Below are 26,958 nucleotides of genomic sequence, written 5' to 3' on the forward strand. Positions count from 1 at the left end.
TCAAACCCGCATCTGTGGGGAAACAAGACATGATTCCTACCAACTGTTTTTCAAAATATTTGGAGTTGCTGATTATTTACTGTTTCTGGTCCTTGTTTCATATTGCTGATATATTCATTGGTAACAAATGGTTGCTCACATTTCTAAAAATGAAATAATGGGAGGCCTAGTGGTTCCTGAATACAAGGGCTAGAAAGGAATGAATGGCGCCTCCCCGGGAGCTGTCCGCTCCTTCCCACTTCCACAAGCGTTTCCATTGAGGCTGAGGGTTGTTCCCCGCCCTTGAGAGTGGAGACCTTCCCCTTCCAGGGTAGATGGGTGGCCAAGGCTTGTCTTTCCCCCAGGGATTTTCCCAGCAGTACGGCAGACAGAAGGATTTTCTGTGTGTAGAACCTAGAGTGGGGGAACATCGCTACTTAGTTAAAAAAAAGCCTGAAGTTGTCCAAATAAGAACAAACATGGTTGACTTTTTAAATTCTTAAGGTTAGGAAATGTGAGCTGTCAGGGGGAAGACCTGAAGTCCTGGTTACTGGCCACCCTCTGGGCTGGCGGGGGAGGGATGGCCTCTGGGAGACTTTGGGCGCTTCCTTGATCTCTCTGTGCCCTTTGCTCCCTTCTCTATGCAGCACCACAACCCAGAGTAGCCTCCATTGACCGCCCTGCACTGTGCTGAGAAGAGTGCCACTCAACACCTGGAGGGTTCGCGTCAATTCTTTCCTTCTAGAATTCCCCACGTTTATCTACACAAGCCTGCACCCCACCCCACCCCCGCTCCTCAGAGGCACAGAACTGATTGGAAGCATGCCTGGAGACACGCTAACCTTTATTCTCTCCACCCTCTTCCCCTAAATACAATGACACCGACATTGGGTGTTTTGGGGGGAGGGAGCGGCACAGGATAATTTAAAGCCATTGTAATTTTCGCTTTGTCCACTCTGGGCTTCCCTTCTCATTCCCGAATCCCAGAGGGGTTTATGACACAGGCAGAAAGCAGGCATTTGGAATGATTCTCCTTTCTTGTTCTTGGTGTTTGTTTTGGAAGCCGAATGTCATCGACTATATTGAAGGATTTTCTCGGAGGGAAAAGGAGACACAGCGGCCTTTGAGAAGGGGAGGAGGAGAGGGGAGTCCAGCCTGGAAAGAGAACACCAGCGTGGACGGTGGACGGGGACTCCTGCCTCAGCGATGGTGCTGCGCTGGCCTGCCCTCCACGGGGGCATCTGTCATCAGGACCCAGGCCAGGAGCAGCTTCGCAGGAATGCAGAGAGGCCTTCCTTGAACGCTTGGAACAAACCTGAGAGTCTCCTTGGACGTCCTTGGAGATGAGTGCGATAAAAATTCCCACCACCTAGCAAAAATGGAGTCATCAGACTTGAGATCTGCAAATGAATTGAACATTTTTCCTCCACCTGGACTGTAGAGTATGGCAGATGCCCAGTACAAGCCACATGTACTCTTCTTCCAAATAAGAGCGGCAGAGTGAGCGACCGTATGCCTGCCACCTAGGTGACAAAATTAATACTCCGACTTCCTTATCTGTCTCTCCGTCCACACTTTGTGCTGAAATCTTTGAGTTGGTAGTAAAGTTATGAGTTTTTACCCTTAGATAATTCAGCACTCAGCAGGTCTGCTAAAGTAAAGACATTCTCTTTCTAAACCACAGACCATGGTTACTGAAGAAACCAAGTCATGACTTCTGTCTGCAGACACCTAGCAAATATTCACAGTTCCCACTTTCCACAAAATTTCTTCTATAGCTGTGTTTTCAAATAAGAATCCATATATTTGGTTATTACCCCCTTTATTTATTTTTATTTTTTTATTATACTTTAAGTTCTGGGATACATGTGCAGAACATGCAGGTTTGTGACATAGGTACACATGTGCCATGATGGTTTGCTGCACCCATCAACCCGTCATCTAGGTTTCAAGCCCCGAATGCATTAGGTATTTGTTCTAAGTCTCTCCCTCCCCTTGCCCCCCACCCCCCGACAGGCCCTGGTGTGTGATGTTCCCCTCCCTGTGTCCGTGTGTTCTCCTTGTTCAACTCCCACTTACGATTGAGAACATGTGGTGTTTGGTTTTCTGTTCCTGTGTTAGTTTGCTGAGAGCTATAGTTTCCAGCTTCAACCATGTCCCTGCAAAGGACATGACTTCATTCGTTTTTATGGCTGTGTAGTATTCCACAGTGTATATGTGCCACATTTTCTTTATCCAGTCTATCCCCCTTTTAACAACTTTCTTTATATACATACAATCCAGCCATCTACAGTGCATTATGTACTGGTTTTCATGATAGTCACAGAGTCCTGCTCTTTTCACCTGAAACAGTCACACTTAAAAAAAACTATATTGACATTTTTAAAAGACCAGGCTGGTTGTCTTATACCCTGTCTACTTTTGGGATTTGTCTGATTATTTCATTCTGTGCTGTGGTTGAAATTACATTGGTTGATTCTAAATCAATAAAATGGAAGTTTGGTCTGAGGTTCAATTGGTTATAATTAGGTTGAATAGTTTGCTAACACTTCACAGGTGATTATCTGTGATTCCCACTGTTGACGCAGGAGAATGGAGTATGGAGGCAGGGAACATAAGGCCAGTTCACCCCCGTTAACTGTGACAGGAAATATCCTCTCCATAGGGTGTACACCACATAAATGGCTTTGTAACTTTACTTCATCCCTTCATTTACATAAGGTGTACACCAGGAAACCAATGGAAACCTCTAGAAAGTATTTAAACCCAAAACAATTCTGTAATGGGGCTCCTGAGCCCCTGTGCTCAGGCCCATTCCCACCCTGTGGAATGTCCTATCATTTTCAATAAATCTCTGATTTTGTTGCCTCATCCTTTCCTTGCTTTGTTTGTGCGTTCTGATCAATTCTTTGTTCAAGAAGGCAAGAACCTGGACACCCTGCACTGGTAACACTATCAGTGATGCAAAATTAGATCAGCTCACTCCTGAGGGGGTAGGCGGCCACCACGTCCTGTTACAGGAACAGTAAGCTTTCCCCTTTGCAATTAGCAGGGAGGCTGCAGGGTGACACATGACTCATGAAACTCCCCAGTTCCCTGAGCACCTGCCACCTCCATTCATGCTCCTTGCCTGAATCCTTAAGTCAAGGGAGTTTGTAAATGTCCATTTCTTCCATATTGATGACTATCATTTCTTCCATATTGTTGAGATGTCATAATGTCATTCTGAAAAACAGCTTTCCCTCATCAATCTGGTATGTAATCTCCTAAATCGGGAAATATTTTATTCTATAGTTACTGCTTTTGAAGTAAGGAATTGGTGTAGTAGTCACCTCTAAAACCACCTAATGAATGTATTCCTTCTTTTTATTTTGAACGTTATTATGGACGTGGATTTTCTTTTTTTAATGTAATATAAACAATCACAGTCATTCTTCATCTTCATAGTTTTATTGAGAATGTGTTCAACATATCATAAAATGCGCCCTTTTAAAAGTGTACAATTTGTGGTTTCTGATCTATTCACAGAGATTTGTAGCCATCACCACTATCTAATTTTAGGACATTCTCATTACCCCAGAAAAAAACCCATCCACATGCGCAATCACCCCCAGCCCCAGCCCTGGGAACCATTCATCTACTTTTGTGTCTCTATGAATTTGCCTATTCTGGACATTTTACATAAATGTGGCCTTTTGTGACTGGCGTCTTTCACTGAACATTCATCCATGTCGTGGCATGTATCGATTATTCAGTTTTTTATAAATCATGTTCTATTGTATGGCTAGGCCACTTTTGAGTGTTCATTTACTCAGCTGATGGTCACTTACATTCTTTCCATTTTTTACATGAGTAATGCTGTATGAACATTCTTGCAGAGGTTTTAGTGTGGACGTGTGAACATATGTTTTTATTTATTTTGGGTATATACCCAGGAGTGGAATAGCTGGGTTATGTGGAACTCGATTTTTAACATTTTAGGGAAAGGTTAAAAACTTTTCCAAAGTGACTGCATCATTTTGCATCCCCACAGTGTATAAGGGTTGTAATTATTTCACATCCTCACCAAATTTGTTATTGTCTATCTTGTTTATTTTAGCCATCGCAGTGGGTGTGAAGTGGTATGTCACTGTGGTTTTGATTTGCATTTTTCCAATAACTAATGATGTTGAACACCTTTTCATGAGTTTACTGGCCATTTATGTATCTTCTTTGGAGAAAGGTCTATTCAAACCCTTTGTCAATTTTTTTAGTGGGGTTATATGTCTGTGAGAGCTCTGTATATATTTTGGATATGAGTCCTTTATCACATAAAGGATTTGTAGATATTTCCTCCCCATCTATGAGCTGACTTTTTACTTTTTGATGGGTTCCTTTAACTCACAAAGGATTTTAATTTTAATGAAGTTTGTCTTATTTATTCCCTTGTTGCTTGTAGCATTGTTGTCATAGCTAGGAAGTACTTGCAGACCCCACGGTCACTTGGGCCAGGTTTCTGCTAAAATGCCATCTCATCCATCAGAGGTGTTTATCACTGTCCATCAGCCTTTGTCCCTTCCCTTGCCCTATGTTTTTTCATTGCTGTTGCCATCGCCTGACACTTTACATAATCATTGCATGTTAATCATCTGTCTTTCTACTCAAGAACACACACTCTTTGACAGCAGGGTTTTAAATTCCTGTTGTGCATGGCTGGATGCCTGGTGGCTGGGATAGAGTGAGGCTTGTTATGTATTCCCCACAGCTGAGGAAATGATAGGCAGAGAAAAGAGAAGGCAACTGGTCCACAGGCAGAGCTGCGGCACACAATGCCACCTCCTATGAAGCAAGGAAATTAGGCAGCTGAGCTTCTGCTAAACACATTGGAGGAATGCAAAAGAAGCCAAAAAAAAACAAAAAAAAACAAAGACAAAACAGACATCATTGTTAAAGACCATGTGTCCAAGGACTTTGTGAATTGAAAATTATTTTACAAATAACAGTAAGTATCCTGGCAGAAGAGAGAGGCATCCCTGGTGTGATGGTGAATTTCACACATCAACTTGACTGGACTACAGGGTGCCCAGATATTTTGTTAAATATTATTCTGGGTGTGTCTGTGAGGGTGCCTCTGGATGAGATAAATGTTTGAATGAGTAATGTCTTTATCAGCTCAGACTGCTGTAACAAAAATACCATAAACAGAGTGGCTCATCAATTACAGAAATACATTTCTCATGGCTCCATTGGCTGGAAGCCAGAGGTCAGGATACCATCATGGTCTAGTGCCAGGGAGGGTCCACTTCTGGATTGCAGACATCTGACCTCTCCCTGTAGCCTCACATGACAGAAATAGAGTGAGCTAACTCTCTGGCCTGCTCTTATGAGCTGTATTCCCATGACATAATTACCTTCCTAATGCTTCTCCTCCAAATATCATCGCACTGGGGATAATAGTTCAGCAAATGAATCTTTTTCAAAGGGATCACAAACACTCAGACCCTAACAGGTAGAACAAGTAATGCAGGTTGCCATCCCATGTGCTGGGCCCCAGCCAGTCTGTTAGAGGCCTTGATAGAACAAAAGGAGGAGCGGGAGACAGACAATCTGCTCTCTGCTACAGCTCAGACATCATTCTTTCCTGGCTCTTGGACTGAAAATCACACCATTGGCTCTCTGACTCTTAGGTCTTTGGACTCAGATTAGAACTTCTCCCAGCAGTTTTCCTGGGGCTCCAGTTATAGATGGCAGATCATGAGACTCCTCAGCCTCTGTGACTGTGTGAGCCAATTCTTTATAATAAATCTCACTCTCTCTGTCTCTCCAGAGATCACAGACAATATATATATATAGAGAGAGAGAATAAGAGAAAGCTAATACACCTGGTTAGATCCAAATGGACCATGAAGGTTGATATGGTTTGGCTGTGTCCCCACCCAAATCTCATCTTGAATTGTAACTCCCACAGTTCCCACACATTGTGGGAGGAACCCAGTGGGAGGTGATTGAATTATGGGGGCAGGTCTTTCCTGTGCTGTTCTTGTGATAGTGAATGAGTCTCACAAGATCTGATGGTTTTAAAAACAGGAGTTCCCTGGAAAAGCTCTCTTTGCCTGCTGCCATCCATGTAAGACGTGACTTGCTCCTCCTTGCATTCTGCCATGATTGTGAGGCCTCCTCAGGCATGTGGAACTGTGAGTCCATTAAACCTTTTCCTGTATAAATTACTCAGTCTTGGGTATGTCTTTATTAGCAACGTGAAAACAGACTAATGCAAAGTTAATAGGCTGTTGAATCATTGGATAAGTGTAGCACTTTTCTTCTGAAGGAAAAGCAACTCTTACAAAAAAAATGAGCAATTCCTTTACTGAGGAAAAATTAGCCACTGATAATACATGAATAATAGCACCTTGTTGTGACTCAATACTGTAATGCATGTACTTACATATTAACTCCACAGTAAATTCTGTGTTATTCCCATTGCATAGTCACCAGTCACCAGCTTCATGTTAAATAAATCGCTAAGCTACTAGAACCAAGAATGGGAGAGGCAGAATTGGCTACACCTGTATAGCAAATATGGAATTCACTGGTCTCGAATGCAAGTGTAAAAAAAAAAATTACTTTTCTAGAACTGTATTTAATTTGCCTTGAATTCCTAATTTCTCTAATTTGCTTTGAATTCCTAATTTATCTAATGCAAGAAACTTAATTCAGTCACCATGTTCAGGTAAATTCTCTAAACTCACTGCTTCTTGAATTCATTTAGGTTTTTAAATCATTTAAAAGCCTTTTCCCACATTCTTCTCCCGTCTGAGTTTTGGGTGTGAGTTCGAGGAGGTTGGAGGTTGAATGTGGACTCTGAAGCAGGAGTAAGTAAGGACCCTTGCTCTGCTGTGCTGCCCACATGACTGCCATTGTAAGGCCCTCGCTGGCTCTGGCCTCTGCCATCTGTCCTCACTGATGTACTCTGCGTCAGCCTATGCTTATCTGAGCCAGTGTTCACTGAGGCGGTGTGACCCCGTTGGACCTCAAACCCATGGCATTGGGGCCATGAAGAACTGGACCCCACGTCATAACCACGAGTTGGTTCCCTTTGGGGCCACTGCCTGCACAGAGCTGTCAGACTTGGTGCACCTGGTCACCTCTGCTCTTGGTCATTTCTGTCCCCTGCCATGTTGGACTGTTCATGATGTTTGGGATGTACCACAGGCTCTGAGCTCTAGGACAAAAGCAGGCACAAGGACCCTCTGCGTTATTCTGTGCACCTGCTCTGGGGGTTTTCTGCCCTGCCTTTCTATCCCCAAGGTTCCCACCTTGGTCGAGAGCAGGGCTGGGCCTGTTTTTGGAGACAGCCTGTTGTGAATTGCCTTCTTTCTCACATTCCTTCCTTCCTCAGTTCAGGCAACCCTCAGTCCTGGGGGCTCCTGAAAACATCTTGTTTAAGCCAGATTGTTACCCTGTAAACACGAAAACTTCTCCCAATACTTCATCTACTGTGAATTTCCAAATTATATTTTGAGAAGGAAAAGTGGAATGCTATTTGTTTCTTTCTCTTAGACTTCCTACTCTTGCACTCCTCCAGGCAAGGAGTGAAGAGGAGCATTGTTCATGAGGAACTCGATGCTTTGGGACGAGGATCCTGATGGATAACGTGAATGTTTTATGTGCCTTACTTTAGCCAGATGCAACCTTTACAAACAGGTACTGAAGCAAGGAGCATTTCAGGACATCATAGAGCTTACAGATGGAGTCTCAGAGCCTCGGTGGGCTCAGGTACATACCCCTACATCCTCATTTACCAGCTACTGAACCGCTCTGCATTTCATTTTTCTGATTTTTAAAAGAGGGGCCCTATTACACATAAGTCATAGAATTGTTGTGAGATTGAGTTCAGATGAGTAGGACTCAAGAGTGCCTGCAAATAGTAAGTGCTCAATAGATGTTAACCTCTATTATTTCCGCCTGGGCTGGGTGCACATCACAGCCCCATTTCATCATGCAGGGGGGTCAAGGGAGCACATTCAGGGGGCACATCACTGACCGGCAGAAACAGGCTCTCAAGTAGAGGAGATTCTCAAATTTATGTTTTCAAGAATGAATTGACCAAACAGAAATCAGAGTGAAGTCACTCCAGTAGAGAGAATTGTATGTGACATTCTCTAAAGGACATGGGATGCTCAAGGAATGGTGTGACTTCCCCAGGACTGAGCCACAGGCCATGGGAGGTAGGAGGTCACCTGAGTGCCAGCTGAGGCACTTCAGCCACATGTTATTCTGTAGTAAGGAAGGGCCCAGTAGCAGGCTGCTGGCACTTTCCTCAGGGGAGAATGTCAAGAATACTGCAGGTGCCTTAGCCAACTTATATTTTAAAGCAATTAAAAAAAGATGAGGTTCAGCATGAGGAGGCATGATAGCCTTCTTCAATTAACTGGAAGATTGTCAGGTGCAAAGGAAGTGGACTTCTCTGTGTGACTACAAGCTCAGAACTAGCATGTTGGAATAAAAATCATAAAGCAACAGGTTTCAGCTCAACTTTGGATAGAACTTCCTGGCAACTACAGCTGTCAACCAGCGGTCTGGTTTGCCTCACGGTAGAATGTTTTCCAACTCAGGAGTGGTTTGTTGAAGGAGCATCTACCAGAAATGGCAAGTAAGGGATTTTGCATTGGCTGATGGGAGATTGTACCCATGACCTCTGAGTCCAATCCCTAACATTCCTGATTTCACAGGCATAATCCAGTTATGCAGGAGACTTAGGAAACAGGGTGGTCTGATATTTTGCTTTTTTTGATAATGCAAAGTAAAGCAGGTAAACATTTCCTTAATGTATATGAATATGTTTGTGTACCTCAGTCATTCTGTATGTTAAAATGTTTGAATCTGTTTTCTTTTTAATGACTACTTACCATGCTGTAAGGTCATCCTTTTGAGCAGGAGTTCTAATTAGTGACATAGACATCAAAAAAGCTAGACATTATCTGAATATATACAACTACCAGCTAAGAATTTGGAAGTTGATATTTCAAATAAATTCCTGATTTTATTTTCTAGTCACTATCCTTTGCTCTTCACTGTCGAGGAAACGTCTAGATCTGCCGTGGGAGGCATCTTTTTATTTCTGATAGTGGGCGAAGGGTGTGGGAGAGGAAAAAGCTGTAGACATGCAGGGGCATGCTTCTGTTTGGTTTCTGTCTCATCAAGCTTCGTTTCCTCTTATAAGAATGGAATCAATTGCGGGTTTTTGAAATTAAAAATTGTAATTAAATATCTGAGATCTTCAGGTCTTTAAATGTGTGCTTTCTCTTCCACACTGCGGTAACTACGATCATGAAAGTAGTACTTACGGAAAGGCACAAGTGCACAGGAATCCATGGCTAAGTGACTTTGTCTTTGGCAAGATGAAGGTGTGAGGGCCAACCCTACAGAAACATGACATCCCGTCCTCTGCTTCCAATCTCTTCTCCTTCCATTCTTTCCTTCCACACACTAAGTGCCTAATAAATGCTTGTTGAATAAATGTTTGTTTGGTAAGTGTTGCTTTTGAGGATTCTTCTTGCATTAGGAAATACATGTGATGGAGAAGTTTTACTCTCAACACTGTTGCATTACAGGTGATGGAAAAATCAAAGGTATGCACAGTTAAGATGAGGATTCAAATTCAGATCAGCTTTACAGAGTGCCAATCTGCAACTTGAATAACTAAATAACTTTATGGATATATTAGCTCATGAAATTTATTTTTAGCACAGGAAATGAATATTTCACAGGAAATGAATATTTAACAAAAATCCTGTCTACCATTATGTATAGTGCTATGCATCCGGAGGGCATTCCATTAGTAAGAGTTTGGTATTGGAGAAGAATTCCTTTTCCTTCTAATTCACAAGGCTGTGGACACTCATATGTTTAAGCCTCTCACATTTAACTCTAATATGTTTAAGGTTAGAGAGGATCAGGGATAAAATTTAACTTTTTGGTCTTACATATTTATCATTTGCCTACTCATTTGATGGCAAACAGAGATAGTCAAAATAAAAACATAATTTCTTTACCCAGAGTTTTAAAGATAAGACCATGAGTATACTTATCACTGTGTACACAGTATGTGAGGTTTTAGCCCTGAATGTGTTCTTTCCTATAGCAGAAAGAATCCCAACACGTACACATAAACACACATGCACCACTGTGTTTTGCCCAGCACTTCTCTTTTCAGGAGGGTGTGCTTTTAGTGAGTGTGCATTTGCGTTGTTGCCCCAAAGACTCCGAGGGCCACGGAAGCTCCCGGGGAAGCCTGCGGGTTGGCACTCAGGGATGCTGGCTCAGTAACCTGAAGCCATCACTGCGGCACCACGGGTTCCCTACACAGTATCTGAATCTTTAAAACTACAGAATGGACTTAGAGTTAGTCAATCATAACATTTAACATTTTATGTTGTCTTGTGCTGTCTGCTAGAAAATGGGTGAAGCAAACACAACATGTTAATTCAATGTAAACTTGGTGTTTTCTAGGCAAACAAGGCCTGGAGTGTTTTCAAATGACCTTCTGTGAAATGTCTATTATCTTCCCCACAAATGAGAGCAAGTGATATACGTGAAAGATATTTTAAAAACTCTGTATTCAATTATTCACACCAAAGGATATCCATTAAAATTATGAACATTTCTAAATATATTTCATGTATCATACATATATATATTTTATGTGTATAATTACATATCAACAAAAGAATTCTTGCTGCTTTAACCATGTAAGTAAAACAAAGATTTTGCAATATAACACTCATATATGCATATATACTGGCTGTTTGAATTATGAATTTATTTACAACTTGCCTAGATTATAATAAATGATTACTGTTCTATTATACAAACATAACAGTAAATGTTTTTTAAATACAAAGACTGCAAATGAATACATGAAAAAATTACACACATGTACAATATTTATAATTTATAAATGCAAAGTTAAGACCTCTTTAAATTATTGCACTTGCGCATTTTACAAAGATTTTTGTCATACATATAAAATCATTTTTTAAAATTTACTAACATCAACTATGATAAAGTTAGATACTGTTAACTTGAAATTCTTTCTCCTTCCAATAGAGAGCCTATTAAAATTCTGGACACAGGTTCATTGACTCTACAAATCAGTTCTTCATGAGCATTGTATTTGTGATGGCATATAACCTGTGTTACTCTCCAGTAGTTTTTGGTCAGCAAGATTATCAACAGCAAACTCTTAGATGCCTTAGCTACGTTATGGATCTAGGATCTCTTTTGTTCATTTGTTCATGTAAAGAAAACCATCTTGTCTTCTCAGAAAGAATGAAGATGCTGCATTTGTACAAATTTTGGTAACTATTTCACAGTGTGTTGGGCAAGCATGTAATTTCAAATAGGTAGGGGCATTGTATAGAAACACCTTCTCTGGGTAAATCTATTACACTCTGAACTTGCACACGAAATGAACACATAGCATATACACCATACAACAGATCATATGGAAAATAATATTCCTATATGTCATTTATATAGGCTATCAGAGATACAGCATAGGACTGGGTATTAAGGTGACTAAAGAAAAAGACAAAGGCTGTAACGCCCAAGATATAATATTTCAGTTGGGCTAGAGTATCAGATTATACACTTTTAGAACCTAACTTACAATAGAAACAAAACCCTTCTGCTTAAACTTCTGCAAATACACAGTACCTCAAAAACATCAGAGGAAAACTGAAATATGTAAACTGACTTCCCTACTTAGTAAGCCCTGGATTCAGCTGTAAGTTTCCACCTTGGTCCTGAGGTGACATTATCCTTTGCCTCACAGGGCCACACCTGGCCCTGTGTGCCATTGATTAGTTTTCTCCCACTTGCAGGAAAGAGCACGTAGGCTCTGTACGGCTTTGCAAGCCCTGCTCTCCATTGCTGGGTTGAGAAGAGAAACATCAAGTGAGGACAGCATTGCTTCTTCGGATGTTAAATGTGTTTCTTAGGTAACATTAATGTCTTTCTCTTTGTTCTATCTTCTTAATTTAGAACCAGCACACCGTTGACACTTTTTAATTTTTTCTTGCTATTTTTATCATATAAAATGCTTCCAACGCTACAGACAACCAAAATATTCCGTTGGAAAAAAGACAAAAAAGTGTGCACTGCATTGGATATTACTAATTTAAACAATATAAATGGTTAAAGAAGTCAGCAAAATGTGTATTGGCTAAATACTTATGCACATGTAAAAATCTCATGGCCATGCGCTGAAAGCATGGGGAAACTATAACGGATGACATACTTGGCTGATTTACATTTTACATAATTTAAAAATCAGATGAATACTTGCAGTAGAAGAGATCCACTATAGTGACTAAATGAATATAGTCTTTAAAGAATTAAATCCTAAATAAAATCTGCAAAGTGTAGAAAGCAAACATATGTTCGAAATATGTAAAGAGAGAAGTGATTTTAAAAATCATGCTTAGGTACCTGAAACCCCCCAAAATCACATCATAACCAGTGTCACAGTTCTCTGAAGTTCTTGCCGAAAAGACTGACTCTGAACAGTTCACTGGTTATAGTCACCAGGGTATATGTCAATGAAGTCAAATAAAGAACAGAAATCTGATGAGGAGAGAATGGTCCTATTCATTCAACTTGATAAAATGAATTGTGCGTTCCTGCAAATATTTTCAATTATACTTAAGCAAGAAAAGCAAAATAATAAATACATGAATGAAGAAGTAAAATTGCAGTATTTAAAATAAAGGCACAGGCCAAGGCAGGTGAATAATTTAGTCCTATTAAAGCTCAAACCTTAATTTTGAGTTAAAAGACCAGAAACACAATACCCAAACCTAAACCTATTAAAAAACCCAGGTATCTAAGGATTTATGCATCTATTTATATCCTGTACAATACAGGATTTGTCTCGCATACACAAATATACCAATAAAGAAAAATTAACTGAGATTTTACAAAATGAAAAAAAATCTAAAAAGCATGCCAAAAAAGAGGAAATCTATTATTGAACACATCTAGTTTCCAATTAGTTGCTTTTGTTGTGGTGAGAACGAGTCACCTGGGGCACCACTGTAAACATCTGTACCTTCCTTTTCCATTGAAGAGTCAGGAATGGGAACGATTGTGTCTAATATTTTGGTCTCTTTTGCAAGATGGGTTTTTCATACACCTCTTAGAGAGAAGTACAGCTGGGAAATGGACCAGAGTCTCTGCCCTATTAATAGGGCTATTTTTTAGAATTAGTTTCCACATCCATTGTATTTCTTTTGACCCTTTTCTAATTAATCAATTCACATTGCCCGAATTCAATATTCCATGTTATTGGCAGGCATTTATGTTTCCAAGGACATTTTTAGCTAAAAAACATATTCACTGTGTCCAAAAAGATAATGGAATAATTGCATATGACCATAAAACTTGTCTATTATAAACCAACATAACCAACAAAAGTATCTGCAAATTGAATATCCTACATATGCTCATAGCGGGTTACTAAATTTATACTGGGTGGAAAATTTGGCACAATACACAATACGACCTTAATAGGAACTCATCAAAGCTGTTGTTAGTAAAAACCATCTCTTGGCTTCTGGTGTCACACTGTTCTTTTAAGAAAAGATCTGGGAACAAGACAAGAAACATGACCCGAAAGTCTGTCTCCTAAACATCTGACAAAATACAAAAATACTCCTAACTGCATGTTTTCCAAAACAAATCATTAACTAAATATCACTGCAACCCGGGTCCTTTTATTTTAGGTAAATCTGTGATTACTAAGTAAATCTTACACATGGTAAAAGCAATATTGACAGTTTATATCAGAATTCAGTCTTTTGTTCAAGCTGTGCTTCTATTATGACAATATTTCACAAGAAATTAACCAACCAGTAAATCCAATCACATTCCTTTGGGAAACTGTTCTAAATAGAGATTACATAATACACTTGACTATAATAAATTAAGAGAATTTTCTGTAATAACCTAAAAATGTAAATGTAGCCATGAGATTCCTAACTCCATAATTATTTTCTATATTAAAAAACAGAATTCATACATTCTTTTAAAATTCTTGTAATTAAACAATAATCTTAAATAATATATCCCTTCCTGAAATTCCATCTCCAAGCGAAATGAGATAACTAAACTAACTTTTGTGACTAAAGCTGTGTTTGGTAGACTCCAGCTTCATAAATTTGTATGCAGAAAAATATGTATCTTGTTCAAATTCAATTATATGATACACTAACACAAAAATGACACTTTCTTGTCAACTGTCAAGTGATATGCATTTTCCATCAAGAAAAATCATTGTTCTTAAAGAATGGGAGAATGGGGCTGATTTATATTTTTTCCTACATGTTTGCTTCTCTCTTCCTCTCTTTCCTTCTGTCTCTCGTGTGTGTGTATGTGTATGTATCATATATACACATATGTATACGTTTACATACATGAGTGTGTATCCTATATACATCTATGTGTGTGTTCTACATATATTACATCCATCCATATATATATGTGTGTGTATATATCTAGCCACAGTGGTACTTCTCTCTCTTTTGTTATTACATTTTACCTCATAGTGTATAATGAAAATAGCAAATGGAGCTCCACGGAGGGAAGATGGCAACTTTCAGAAGCCCACAAGAAAACTGAACACATAGTGTTAATTTTAAAATAAGAACAATGTTTATGTAGAGCCAACTTTGCTACAACATAAATAAACCATGTTGTAGAAGCCTCTGATTTAATTTTGCACAAACCAGGCTCATATGAACAAAACGCCTATGGTGGTAAATATGTAGAAGCATATTTTTCCATTTTATTAAAAGCGATATTCCAGTTTCCTGCCACATGAAAAGTGAATAAGTTATTTGATATGATGGGCCTGTCACTTCCTGAGTGAGTCTCTGTCTAATTCAGGTTTGGAGGTTACCGTGCCATTGCACTAAAAATCTTTAAATTATTAAAATGCGCCAGAAGTGACTGCTTTATCATCTTTGTAGGAAGGGGTGCAGAGTATTACTTTCGTATTTTTTAAAACACTTACATTGTATAGTAATACTGGTCAACCAAAAAGGTGTATAGAAGAAACCATCGAAACCCACAGGCTTCTATGGAGTGATCTGATCTGTGAGAAGAGTAAAGAGAACAGAAAGAAGGTCCAACATGATTGTACTACTTTCTGCTCTGTTTCTGTGCTATGGACAGAAAGCTCATGAAATACGACCGTGCAGTACGTGGAAGAGATAAGTGAGAGGTGACTGCGGCAGGTCAGAGTAAAATTACAAAATACACTTTTTATGGTTTGATGTTTAAAAGAGAACTGTATGGTATTTTAATTAAACAATGTTTAAAATAAACTTTTCATTGTGAATGAGAGTCTAAAATTCTGCAATGACACAAAGTGAAAATATAAAGGAATCATTATGAAAAATGTACCCTTCGTATCCATAAGACTTGTCCATTAAAAAAATTACAATGCCGAGCTTTTATTTTGTTCTTTATGCAAAGGGTTCAGTAAAACTGCCAAGACAACAACAAAAACAATTTTAAAAACTGACATCTTTTGAACTGCTACTTGAAGTTCTGAGATTTATTGTAACATATACCTCATCTCTTCTCAAAAAGACAGGAAGTCTACTTCGTCTAGTGTTAAATTTATTGATCTCAGCCCTTTAGGTTGAACTTAAAGAATTATGTTTAGTCTAACTAAATTCATGAAGCTCTGAAATAAGAGTTTGACGTTTTGCCATCATTTCTTACTCTGTAACCTCAACGACATTTGTCCTGAGGCTGTGGACTACAACTCAAGTTAATTACAAGTAGGTCATACATGAACATTCACCATTCACAATAGTAATGTGTAAAAATTCCTATTTATATCCAACAACATCAAAGCAACATTGATGTTAAAGCCCAAGTACAATACCATAATAGTACCATTTTAAACCCTTATTAGAAAGATACAATGGAAAAGTACCCCTTCTGGATAATTTTTGTCCATTTCCTTTAAGGCCTCAGCAATATTAGCCTATTAGAAAAGGCTGGTTTGCAAGTCAAATGGAGTCACTTGGCCAGCTGATTTCTGAACGTGGGGGTGGTCCTGGTTGCTCAGTGTCTATGATGCCTCACAGAAGAGATTGGCAGGAAGTCCTCTGCTTGACTTATTTATTTGATGTTACCTTCTTGAAGAGGTTTGCACCCCAGTTACCAGGTGCAGGTTCCCCCCACCCCCCCCAAAAAAAGGAAAAGAATGTCAAAGAAGCAAGATGAGGATCTGTAGGTGGGACAGCGTGTCAGGGTGACCAGTGCTCAATCTTCAGATGCAGCTGCCTTCTGAGCCACGGATGGGGATGAAATCCAGGTTGCAGTCTCCTCCCCTCGAATCACCTTCTCCCACTGACTGAGATTATCCCTAGGGATAAAAGATGCAGTTTCAGGAGAAGCTGAATAAAGGATTTCTGGACTTTGTCTTGAAAACTAACCAAACAGTCCTGTGGCACAGCTCTGCACAACGGCATTGTGTGGGGCCCTCCGACATGGTTACCAGCACGACGTGGCCAGGCAGGTTCCTGTGATGGCTGTTCAGGAAAGAGATTCAGAGGTGCCAGAGGGTCAGGGGCACCTTGGTCCATCCGCTCTGGACCGCGAAAGCAGCAGAAATGCTAGGGCTCAGCATACGTCCTTTCTTAGAAAGAAGGATTAACTTGAACAGGGAAAGAGCCCTAGGGTTTACTACTGAGGAATACGCGGGATCGTGCAAAGGAGGTGGTCCCAGAGCAGTAGGAACACTTGGTGACAACACGGACCTTCCTACTGAGAAATGTCGACAGTGCATCTCCCAGGAGGCCTAAACCTCATCATCTTACACTTGTTCTTATTCTGAACAGTGTGTCGTATGTACAAAGTCATCCTAAGTTACACCTGGCAAAACTTCGGAAATTTTCTTGTTACAGTAAAACCGTGTTTGTGCTCTGGTAAGTCCTCACCCGAGGCAGTCTCATTTCTCGAGTCCTCTAATCTTTCTCTCTCAGTGTCTGTGGTTCAAGCTTCACAGGCATCGTCATCTTCTCTAACTGCGTGATCACAACCACTGCACAACCATCTTACTCTACATGGCTACCCTGGCAGAGCTCTTAGCCACATTCCTGTGTGAAGTCACATGGGAATCTTGGCATTGGGAAATACAAAACTCCTATGAGACACAGTTTTAAAATTCTCTCAAATTTCTTTTAGCAAACATGCTAAGACACATTCAGATAGACAAAACCCTAAAATATAACTGAAAAGTGTAGCCCTTTTAACTTTTGTAACATATCATCAAGTATTATTTTTCCAGACCCTAGAGACTTCTGATATATTGGAAAAAGCCATACACTAATTTTGGTATGTTTCCTTGGACACCGATGATACATCATACGCTTTTTAAGCGTTAATAAGATTAAAATGGCCTTTAAGAAGTTATGTGGTCCAGCCAAGTATACTGAAGCAGGAATGAGGCAGAGCTGCCCACACAGTGGACACCGTGTTCTCAGAGCTCCACAAGGAAGGCACCTCCATAGCGCCCTACAGCGCCGGGCACGCGCCTCCATAGCGCCTTACAGCGCCGGGCACGCGCCTCCATAGCGCCCTACAGCGCCGGGCACGCGCCTCCATAGCGCCCTACAGCGCCGGGCACGCGCCTCCATAGCGCCCTACAGCGCCGGGCACGCGCCTCTATAGCGCCCTACAGCGCCGGGCACACGCCTCCATAGCGCCCTACAGCACCGGGCATGCACAGTCAGCACTCATGACCTGGCTTCCAAGTACCTGGCATAAAACACACAGAATTTCTGGACAGGAAAGGACTTTTGAAGATATTGGTTTAAACAACATCTTTGAATTTACATTGATATCCCACTTTCTCTTTAATTTTGCACACACTTTTATAACCTAATTCCTTCAAGAATGATCTGGCCTCACACTCCATATTGCCCATTATGACTTAGGCCTTTGTAATAAGGTAAGATTTTAATAAACTAACCAGGGATTAAGGTCAATTAAGGCTCAACAGAACAAGGTGGGATGCTACGTTTATATCCACAGGAGCAGGAAGGAAGGAGAAACCGTTTCTTAAATATTATATATATAAAATTTTTAATATTGCTTATTGGTCTTTCCTTGAAAAAAGCAGAAAAAAAATTTCAACAGCAGAAGATAAGAGTATACTAAGTTTCTGGTTTTGTGTAAAACTCTCTGGCCAGTGTCTGTTCTCCGTCCTCCCACAGGGCATCCACTCCAACCCACCCCAGGCAGAGCTATGGCTAAGTAGTTAAAACATGGCCCGGAGCCAATTCACCTAGAAAAGACTCACACGCACAGCTGCTGGCTATAACCCTTTGACTTCCTCAGAGGGAATTTATAAAGTAAAATGAAAATCTTTAAAAATATCCAAGGTTCTTAACCGAGTTCACTCTTTAAAAAGGATAAGAATGGAATAGGGAGAAATAATGAATCTAGAAGAGATAACGATGCTTAAATGTCTTTCTGGAATGAGAAAAAGACTTAAAGAGGAAGCGGTTATTCAAAATTTAAGGTCCCCTTCTTCCATTTAAACAACAAACTGTGTGATCTAGTCAGCCTCTTCCTGCACAGGCATCCTCAATAGACACCATTACCTTGTCTTTTTAAAAACAGCATTGGGCAGGTCCTCTGCAAAATAACAATAATAATAAAAACTTCTTCCTCCTTTTTGGTGTATGAAGGACTTGATATGAATAGACACTCTTCACATATACATAGTGTACTACATAGGGACATACTGTGGCTGTACGAGTCATGAGAGCCAGGGGCCCCTCTTGCAGGACTGACTCCATGTCTCACTTAGCAGAATAAGGCAGCCTGGCCAAGGGCTTCTATCCCAGGCCTGAGGACCTCCAGGGACAAGGTCCCTTCAGCACAGATGCAGCTCTCATTAGGCTTGAAACCAAGCTGCCTTGCAAGAACCACACACATGCCCTTTCTCAAAGAAAGACCTGGCACCCCACTCAGACTGAACGTGGGCATAAGAAAGCGAGAAGGGTCTCCCACACCGAGACAGAGGCCCTCCCAGTCACTCGGTCATCTGGGCCCTGACTGTGTCTGGCCCCAGCCCCCAGCCTGTTCCCACTGTCCCTCTCTTCAGAGTGTGGCCAGAAGAAGCTACCCAAGCACCCAAGGTGCCTGAGGCTCGTCTTTGAGGAGAATTGAACCAAAGGGGAGAAGTCGTGGCCCTGGGGAAGCCAGGTAAGGAGGCCCCGAGTCCCTGAGCACAACAACTCGACATCTAGACAAACACACAGACCACAACACACTAGTGGGGTACAAAAATCCTATACAGATCTCAGTGTTGTTGGAAACAATATTTTTACGGCTTGAACCATAGTACATACCTGCATGCTTTCAGAAGAGGCTCCGTGGGAGGGAGGATCTGGGTAAGGGTTGTATAGCAGGGAATGGCCACGGCATTGTAGAACCCAAGCTGCCTCCATGCAAAAACCACGGACAAGAAACAAAAGTGCACATTAGCAATTCCAGTGATATTTATATTTCTTAAGTGACTGTTCTGTTTCTGAGGCCTAATTATAAAATTGCATGTTCTAGTTTTGCTGTATGTGATATCTGGGTTCCATGAATACTATTATAGACTGTATTTTAAAATGCATTAAAATGGATTCTAGAAATAAAACACATGAAGATTCAAAACATATTACAAAGGTTAATACCTACTGAAATCTGGCCGGGCGCGGTGGCTCACGCCTGTAATCCCAGCACTTTGGGAGGCCGAGGCGGGTGGATCACGAGGTCAGGAGATCGAGACCATCCTGGCTAACAAGGTGAAACCCCGTCTCTACTAAAAATACAAAAAATTAGCTGGGCGCGGTGGCAGGCGCCTGTAGTCCCAGCTACTCGGGAGGCTGAGGCAGGACAATGGCGTCAACCCGGGAAGCGGAGCTTGCAGTGAGCCGAGATTGCGCCACTGCAGTCCGCAGTCCGGCCTGGGCGACAGAGCGAGACTCCGTCTCAAAAAAAAAAAAAAAAAAAAAAAAATACCTACTGAAATCTAAGACCCAAGTACATTAAATGACATTTCGCTAATAGATCAGTCAGTTGATCATTCAAGTCCTGTGTTATCTCCAGTCACCTTTAGTGCTTTCTTGCAGACACTTCAACGTAAAGCCTGCTATTCTTTCATACATATGGCTCTTTCCGCCCTCGTGCTCAGGTTTACAGCAGTGCTTTCTGCTTGTCTGTTACTCTTGGCTTTGGTGCCTTGTGTGGTGTCCCAATATTTACTCATCCTCCCAGCCCTCTTATTTGAACTAAAATAAATGTCATTGGTTTTATCACAGCTCTTCCCATTTACTGTTTTTCCAATATATCACATTTCAAAGTTTAAAAATCTGTAGTATTTTAAATAATACATAAATAATATTTTATTAGGAATTCTGGGTCACTGTGCAAATAAGACTGGCTTACTGAAGTCCAGATGTAAAAGATATGTGACTATCAGCCAGATAACACAGCTTGTCTAGTCATAAGTCACTGGCCAAGTGGCTGCATCATGTACGAGACAAATAGCTCTCTAGAAGAGGTGACCCCAAATCACAGCTTACCAATTTCTCGAAAGTACTGAACTTCAGTGATATGCATCGAAGCATACAGAAGGATCAAATTTATTCCTTTTTGCTTTCTCCTGTTATAAAGTCTATCGTCATAGCACTCTTACTAGAATAGCGCCTGTGTTATTTCCATTTTTAACTTTATGGCTCATGCAGAGACTTTCTTATTCTAATATTTAACAGATGTCATGGGGCACAAGATCCCAGAAAAGATACTAATATTAGAAATTAGAGTATTTCATTATTATGGCAAATAATTTCACAGTCATCAACTATTTAGAAGCAATATGGTTGGTAAAATATGAACTGATCATAGAAATTTTTCTTTAAACCTTTATTAGGCTGTAAATGAAAATCAAACTATTCTAAAACAAACGATTATCTTAGTTAAAAACACTAGAGCAAAACCCATATGCTGACAGCATCAATGAGAAATTTCCAGCTATACCATGCATTCTTGGGATGACTGTTAACTACTGGGAAGGAAAGAAATTGTAGATCCCTATCTTAAATAATATAACAAGATACATTCCAAACAAGTCAATAAATCAAATGGAAAGTAATCAAGAAGAAACTAAAGAAAATATAGGCAAATATATTTACTCTCAAGATGGGAAAGAACTTCTCAAATACAATATGAAAAGCAGACACCGAACAGGAATGACTAACAGCTGTGACTCCATATATGGGAAAATTCCATGAACAGTGGTAAAATGCGACAAAAACTTCAAAATACACCTGCAGTAAACACGATAGGTATTCAGGATCCATTTCTAATCAAGAGGGAAAAGTGACCATGCCATCAGAAAACCTAGCCAGGGACATAAGTGGAGGCAATGGCCATTCATTCAGCCTCTTTGTTGTGCTGGTACCCTCTGTGAGCTGTGGACTTGTCTAAATTTTGTATAAATCAATTTTAAATAAAGTAGGGAAATTTGAGAACTTATCAAAAACCACCATCCTGTGGACTTTTTTAAACATTTGTTAAACTTATCTGTATCATAATTATTTATTTGCCCACAACTAACTTCCTTGTTATGCCATTAGAAGATGAGACAGTTAACGAAAGCCATACTCTCAGAAATATATGACACCACACATACACATGTGCAAAACTAGCGAGGCACAAGACCTCTCAAAACATTCAAAAGCAAAATAAATTATGTAGTATGACCTGAAAAGAGGATAATTAATGTCAATTTATGTTGAGACAAAACATAAAATGTACTAAAATACTAAGCATTATTTGTCAGAAAAAAATGAACCTGAATTAAAATCTATAATGTAACTCTCCAAAAATATCTTTGTTTAGCCAATGACAAAATATTTTCTGCTTGTTAAAAATAAAACAATTCAAATTCATCCACCCCCTCTATTTCAAGTCAGAAAAGAAAGCCTATTTACTGCAACGGCAGCTGTAGAAAGGAGTCGTGGCCAAGGTAGTATGAATTCTTTCAGTCCACAGAGATTTCCTAACCTTGGTCTTACTCCATCTAAATGGAGAAGGTTTCAAGTGGTTCTAGCTTCTGTCCTCTGAGCACTAAGTCCCTCCAGTCCACAAGGCAGCCAGACCCTCAGGATTCCTCACTGTGGCTTTTAGCCTTGGGAACAAAATCAGTGGTTAGAGTTGGCCGTCAAACTCAGATTAAGAGTATAAACTCTTTTAGAGTCTACTTTTCTGAGTGTCTTAGCAAGTGAAGGCTCATTTGAGTAGATGATTATTCAGGGTAAACAGTTTTTCTTTTTCTAGTTCTCAATCTTGTAAGATAAATTTCTGAAGTTTCTATATTAATCACCAGATCTGCCTGGAATAACCCATTCCCTTAACATAATATATGATGACATGCTTTCCATTTATGTATGATTTTATGCCCACCTTAAACTATTTGGCTTTAGCAATTACAATTTACTTTAATAATTCATACCTGGCCTTGGGGGACTTCATCCTTCTTGTCTCTGTCCATCATAGGAATAGGCTGTATTCCCAATTTCTTCATTTCATCACCCTAAGATGAATGGGGAGAAAATCATGCTTTCTCAAATTTCAAATTGCTATACTATTTTGATATTATTGAATTATTCCCTTTATTCCTTAATTTTCTTCAAAACAAATAATGTTTGTGGTTGTTAACCCAAGAAAAGTACATCAAAATAAAGAAAAACTTAATGTATCATTATTTTGTACTTTATCCTGATTTTCTCCACTACTGAATTACCAGAAACCCAGCCATTATTACTGGTTTCATTTTGCAGAAGTTAGTAAATAAATGTTATAATAAGAGGAGATACAGTAAACAGTGAGGAGAAATAACAATAACAAGATATGGAATAACCTCCAGGCCCTTCTCTCTTCCAAATGATCTTCCAAGTGCATGGAACTCAGTGAAGTTTGGCTTTCCAGAGGAATATTTACAGAGGAAGATAAACATCACCAGTCGACTAAAATGTGCTAGTAAAGACGCAGTACAACAAACTACACATATCATCTAATTTACAATTATAGGTAATACTTACTAAAGATTAACTATGTTAGTTACTGAAGGTTCACGTACAGTTACAGGTAATAGTTACTAAAGATTCACTATGTTAGTTACTAAAGATTCACTTACAGGTAATAGTTACTAAAGATTCACTATGTTAGTTACTAAAGATTCACTTACAGGTAATAGTTACTAAAGATTCACTATGTTAGTTACTAAAGATTCACTTACAGTTACAGGTAATAGTTACTAAAGATTCACTATGATGCAGGCCCTGAGCTAAGTAATTTGTAAATATTATTTCATTTAATCCTTATGAAATATTCTAGGATATGCTGTTCCCATTTTAAAGATTTTAGAAATTATCTTGCTTTTTATTTATTTGTTAAAGGTAAAACTTGTACAATCTTCTTAAGATTTCCTAGTATTTTTCCTAACTTCCCACTCTTCCCTCATAGTTTTTATTATTTTAGTAACGTTGGTCATGTTTTTAGAAATCAGAAGTACAGCCTAGAAACTTCCCAGACTTGCTAAAATAGGGTCTACAAACAAACTACTATCACCATAATTAGGTATTTTTATGTACAGGACCAAAGCACTTGTCCTGACAAAGCAAAGCCACTTCAAGCATGGCTGCTGTTCCATTGTTACCACTTTAAATTTAAAATCAGTGGTCTCAAACCTTTTGCTTCTCTATCCAAAGTGAGTGAGACATACTAAGTCCCTTGCTCTCAAAGACTTGACAAGTCCAACAAGGAAACAGCTTTTTAAACAAACGATGATTTGAATATGTACTCGAAACAAAAATGCTAAAAAGGAAAAGAACCCAGTGCTACAGACCATGGCTCTAACAGAGGGCTGAGCCAATCTGAGGCTTTCACAGAATACAGAGGGCAGGAGCATGCTCCAGGCAGAGACTGCAGGGAACAAAGACCTAAATGGCAGCTAGGGGCTGAGATGGGGAATATGCCTGCACAGACAGTGGGCAGGGGGCCAGCCATGTGGGGCTCTCCACACGGAGGTCATGATTTTGGTCTGTATTACAACAAGAGGATCAGAAGCAGGGTACGGATGGAATCCGAATTATTATCATCCCTATCTCATAAACTGGCCTGAGGTTAAATACCAAGTGCCAAAGCGGAATTTTAATTTCAAGCAACCTGGCACCAAAGACCACATTATTAATTACTTTTGCACAAATTCTAAAAGGTAATGGCAAGGAATTCAGTTAGAAAGTTGCAGTACTCAAGGCATGAGTTGGTGATGACCTGAAGAGGGGAAAGATTGTGAGGATGGAGAGAAGAGACAGGACTTTATAGATACTGGGAACAACTGTCAGGACTTGGTGAATATATTCCTGCTTCTTCCTGTGGACTATTGAGGTTGGTGAAGGCTGCACCTAAGAGCATGCAGAGAGCTGAATCATTATCTGTGGACTGAATAACCAGTGAATAATATAAAGGAAAAACATCTCCATTACATATTGGTCACATTTTGGCATTAAATTCTCCAGCTTTTAATCCTGCACCTTCCTTTTACTTTAAGTTGTCATTTAATGACTGCACATTTTCTACATTTGTCTAGAATATAGAAATCATATTACAGTCTATAGTTATGCCTTTCTCATAGCAATCCTGTACCTGAACAAAACGTGCATTTTTAGTATGAGATAAAAAGATATTTCACAAACAGTGCAAGGTTTTTGCTCCTGTTGTCATAGCTGCAGTGATGGCTTCATGAATTTCCTTTTCTTTTTTTGCAACGATCCTTACACGGGATTCATTTATGTTAACATGGCGGCAACCACAGCTGCAGACTTCAGTCTAGGGAACGTATCAAGCAACTCAACTTTTTCTTGTCATGTCATGACTTTTCTCTGCTTCTTGGGAGCACTTCCAGCATCCTAGTGTAACTCTGTATAGGTGCTATGGTGTTACGGAGGACTTAGGTATTGCACTAAACACAATGAAAACTATGCAAGAACCACGAGAGATCACTTTTTACTGTGATACACAATTTACTGGAGAGACGAATAGCTCAGAGACAATTAGCATCACAGAGCATTTTAAACACAGCATTTTAAGTGGATACTTGTAACACTTGAGCTCACCGTAACAGCAAAAGAAGGTTGCTGCAAAATTATTACAGTACTGCCGTATGTACTATGGTTAACTTTACGCAGTTACAATTTAACACGGCATCTGTTTGTTTACATTTCTCTCCAGTCTATAAGTGTGTATATAAGTTTTGATAAATTTTAACTTATCATAGATTTTTGTATATTTTATGGTAGTAAATGATAAAATCGACTAGTATCTACATATATTTTATGCACTTATGGCATACTTAAATTTTTTATATTTCTAGGATATGTTGTTCTGTATTTTTGTCATAGATCTCCAAAAAAATCTTTCAATATATTTATTGAAAAATATCTACATATAAGTGGATCCACACAGTTCAAACCCGTGTTGTTCAAGGGTCAACTGTGCATTGAAATCAATCTTCCTACTTGAGTCTGATGGTAACTAGGTTCTGACACATACACAATAAAATAAAGAAAAAGCTCATGCGAGACCACGCATATGCGATGTGTAAAGCATTCTGGAGAAATCATGCCGGGAGTATAATCAACTCAAGGTCTGTGATCCTCATACAGTAAACATACTTTGGCTTTATTATTATGAAATAATTCAACATGATAAACCTTTCCCACTAAACTTGTGGCTGAATGATTTGCTGTTTATGTTTTACATACATTCTTCTGTATGAATGAGATATACGATTGAATTATCAGCTGCTTTGTCCTCCAAATTTACTTTTATTTATTCAAACCAGAAGAGGTACTCAAAAGATTTACAGCTTTCTTCATAGAGTAGTTTTTGAATATGCAAAGGCCTAGGTATCCGTGACTCATTTGGATGGGAGAATGATATTCTACTTACTTACATACAATTCCATCAGCAAATTGAGCAGTACAATGCACATCACTGATAAATTAGATAAGTCAGTCAAGAAAAGGCGTTAATAAAAGTCATTTACGTGTTGTTTCAGGAGTATTATGAATGAATATTCCACACATTCTGCAGAACACATAATTTGCAGGTGAGCTATTGGTTATATTTACATATTCTCAATGTCTATGGTGCAAAACAATTATTCTCCTGAATTTTTAACTGCAGGTGGATATATCCTGTATTATGGGACCCTCTGAGTACTTTGTCCAGTGCCTATCTAAAGTAGATGGCCAGTAATGTTTATTGAATGAATGAACAAAAGATCAGCTGTTAAGTAAGATAACTGTTATACTACTGTTCAGTGAGTAAGTTCCTAAACTCTTTCAGTTGAGCTCAGAGAATTAGACACACATGTAAGTAATATGTAAAAGAATGATCATTCTCTCTTTGTATCTGCATAAGTGCTAAATCCTTCAGTATGTGACTCACCACAGTTCTCTGAAATAACTATCAACATGAACAACTAAAGTATTCTTAGCAATTGATCCATACGTTTTATTTCTCCTCACTATCTATGTCAATATAAGAATCAAGGACATACCTCAGCCCAGAATTCTGCATATATATCATTTGCCGTCAATTTTGTAACGGGCCACAGTTTTGTCACAGAACAAAGGTCACAGGCAGTCATCATCAAACCAATTACACGGTCTCTAGAACACAACAATATAAGACTGGTCAGCATAGCATTTGCACATTTATAGTAAGGACTAGAAAGACTTCTGTATTTCAGGAGTGAAGTTTAAGTATGTATTACTTCATTAAAGAGCACACAGAAGTGACAGCCAGGACAGTAAAATGGAATTAAAAATTAGTGTCATTTTCATCATAAGAACA

General features: G+C 39.4%; 1 protein-coding gene across 12 annotated transcripts in view; it reads right to left on the reverse strand.

The window, feature by feature from the left end:
• Positions 10,561–26,958, reverse strand: part of PDE10A (phosphodiesterase 10A) — a 660,764-nt gene continuing 644,366 nt past the window's right edge. For 11 of the 12 annotated variants that reach the window (XM_011535387.4, NM_001385079.1, NM_001130690.3 and 8 more), the window contains 4 exons: positions 26,663–26,774; positions 22,550–22,630; positions 19,395–19,483; positions 10,561–16,399 (listed from right to left, as the gene is read on the reverse strand). In XM_011535387.4, the coding sequence (XP_011533689.2) occupies positions 16,297–16,399; positions 19,395–19,483; positions 22,550–22,630; positions 26,663–26,774 (385 nt within the window). In that variant the 3' untranslated portion in view covers positions 10,561–16,296. Of the gene's footprint in view, positions 16,400–19,394; positions 19,488–22,549; positions 22,631–26,662; positions 26,775–26,958 lie in introns of all 12 variants that reach the window. The other variant, XM_017010194.3, reaches the window with a different exon arrangement.

Source organism: Homo sapiens, chromosome 6, assembly GCF_000001405.40.
Source record: "Homo sapiens chromosome 6, GRCh38.p14 Primary Assembly".
NCBI classification, from domain to species: Eukaryota; Metazoa; Chordata; class Mammalia; order Primates; family Hominidae; genus Homo; species Homo sapiens.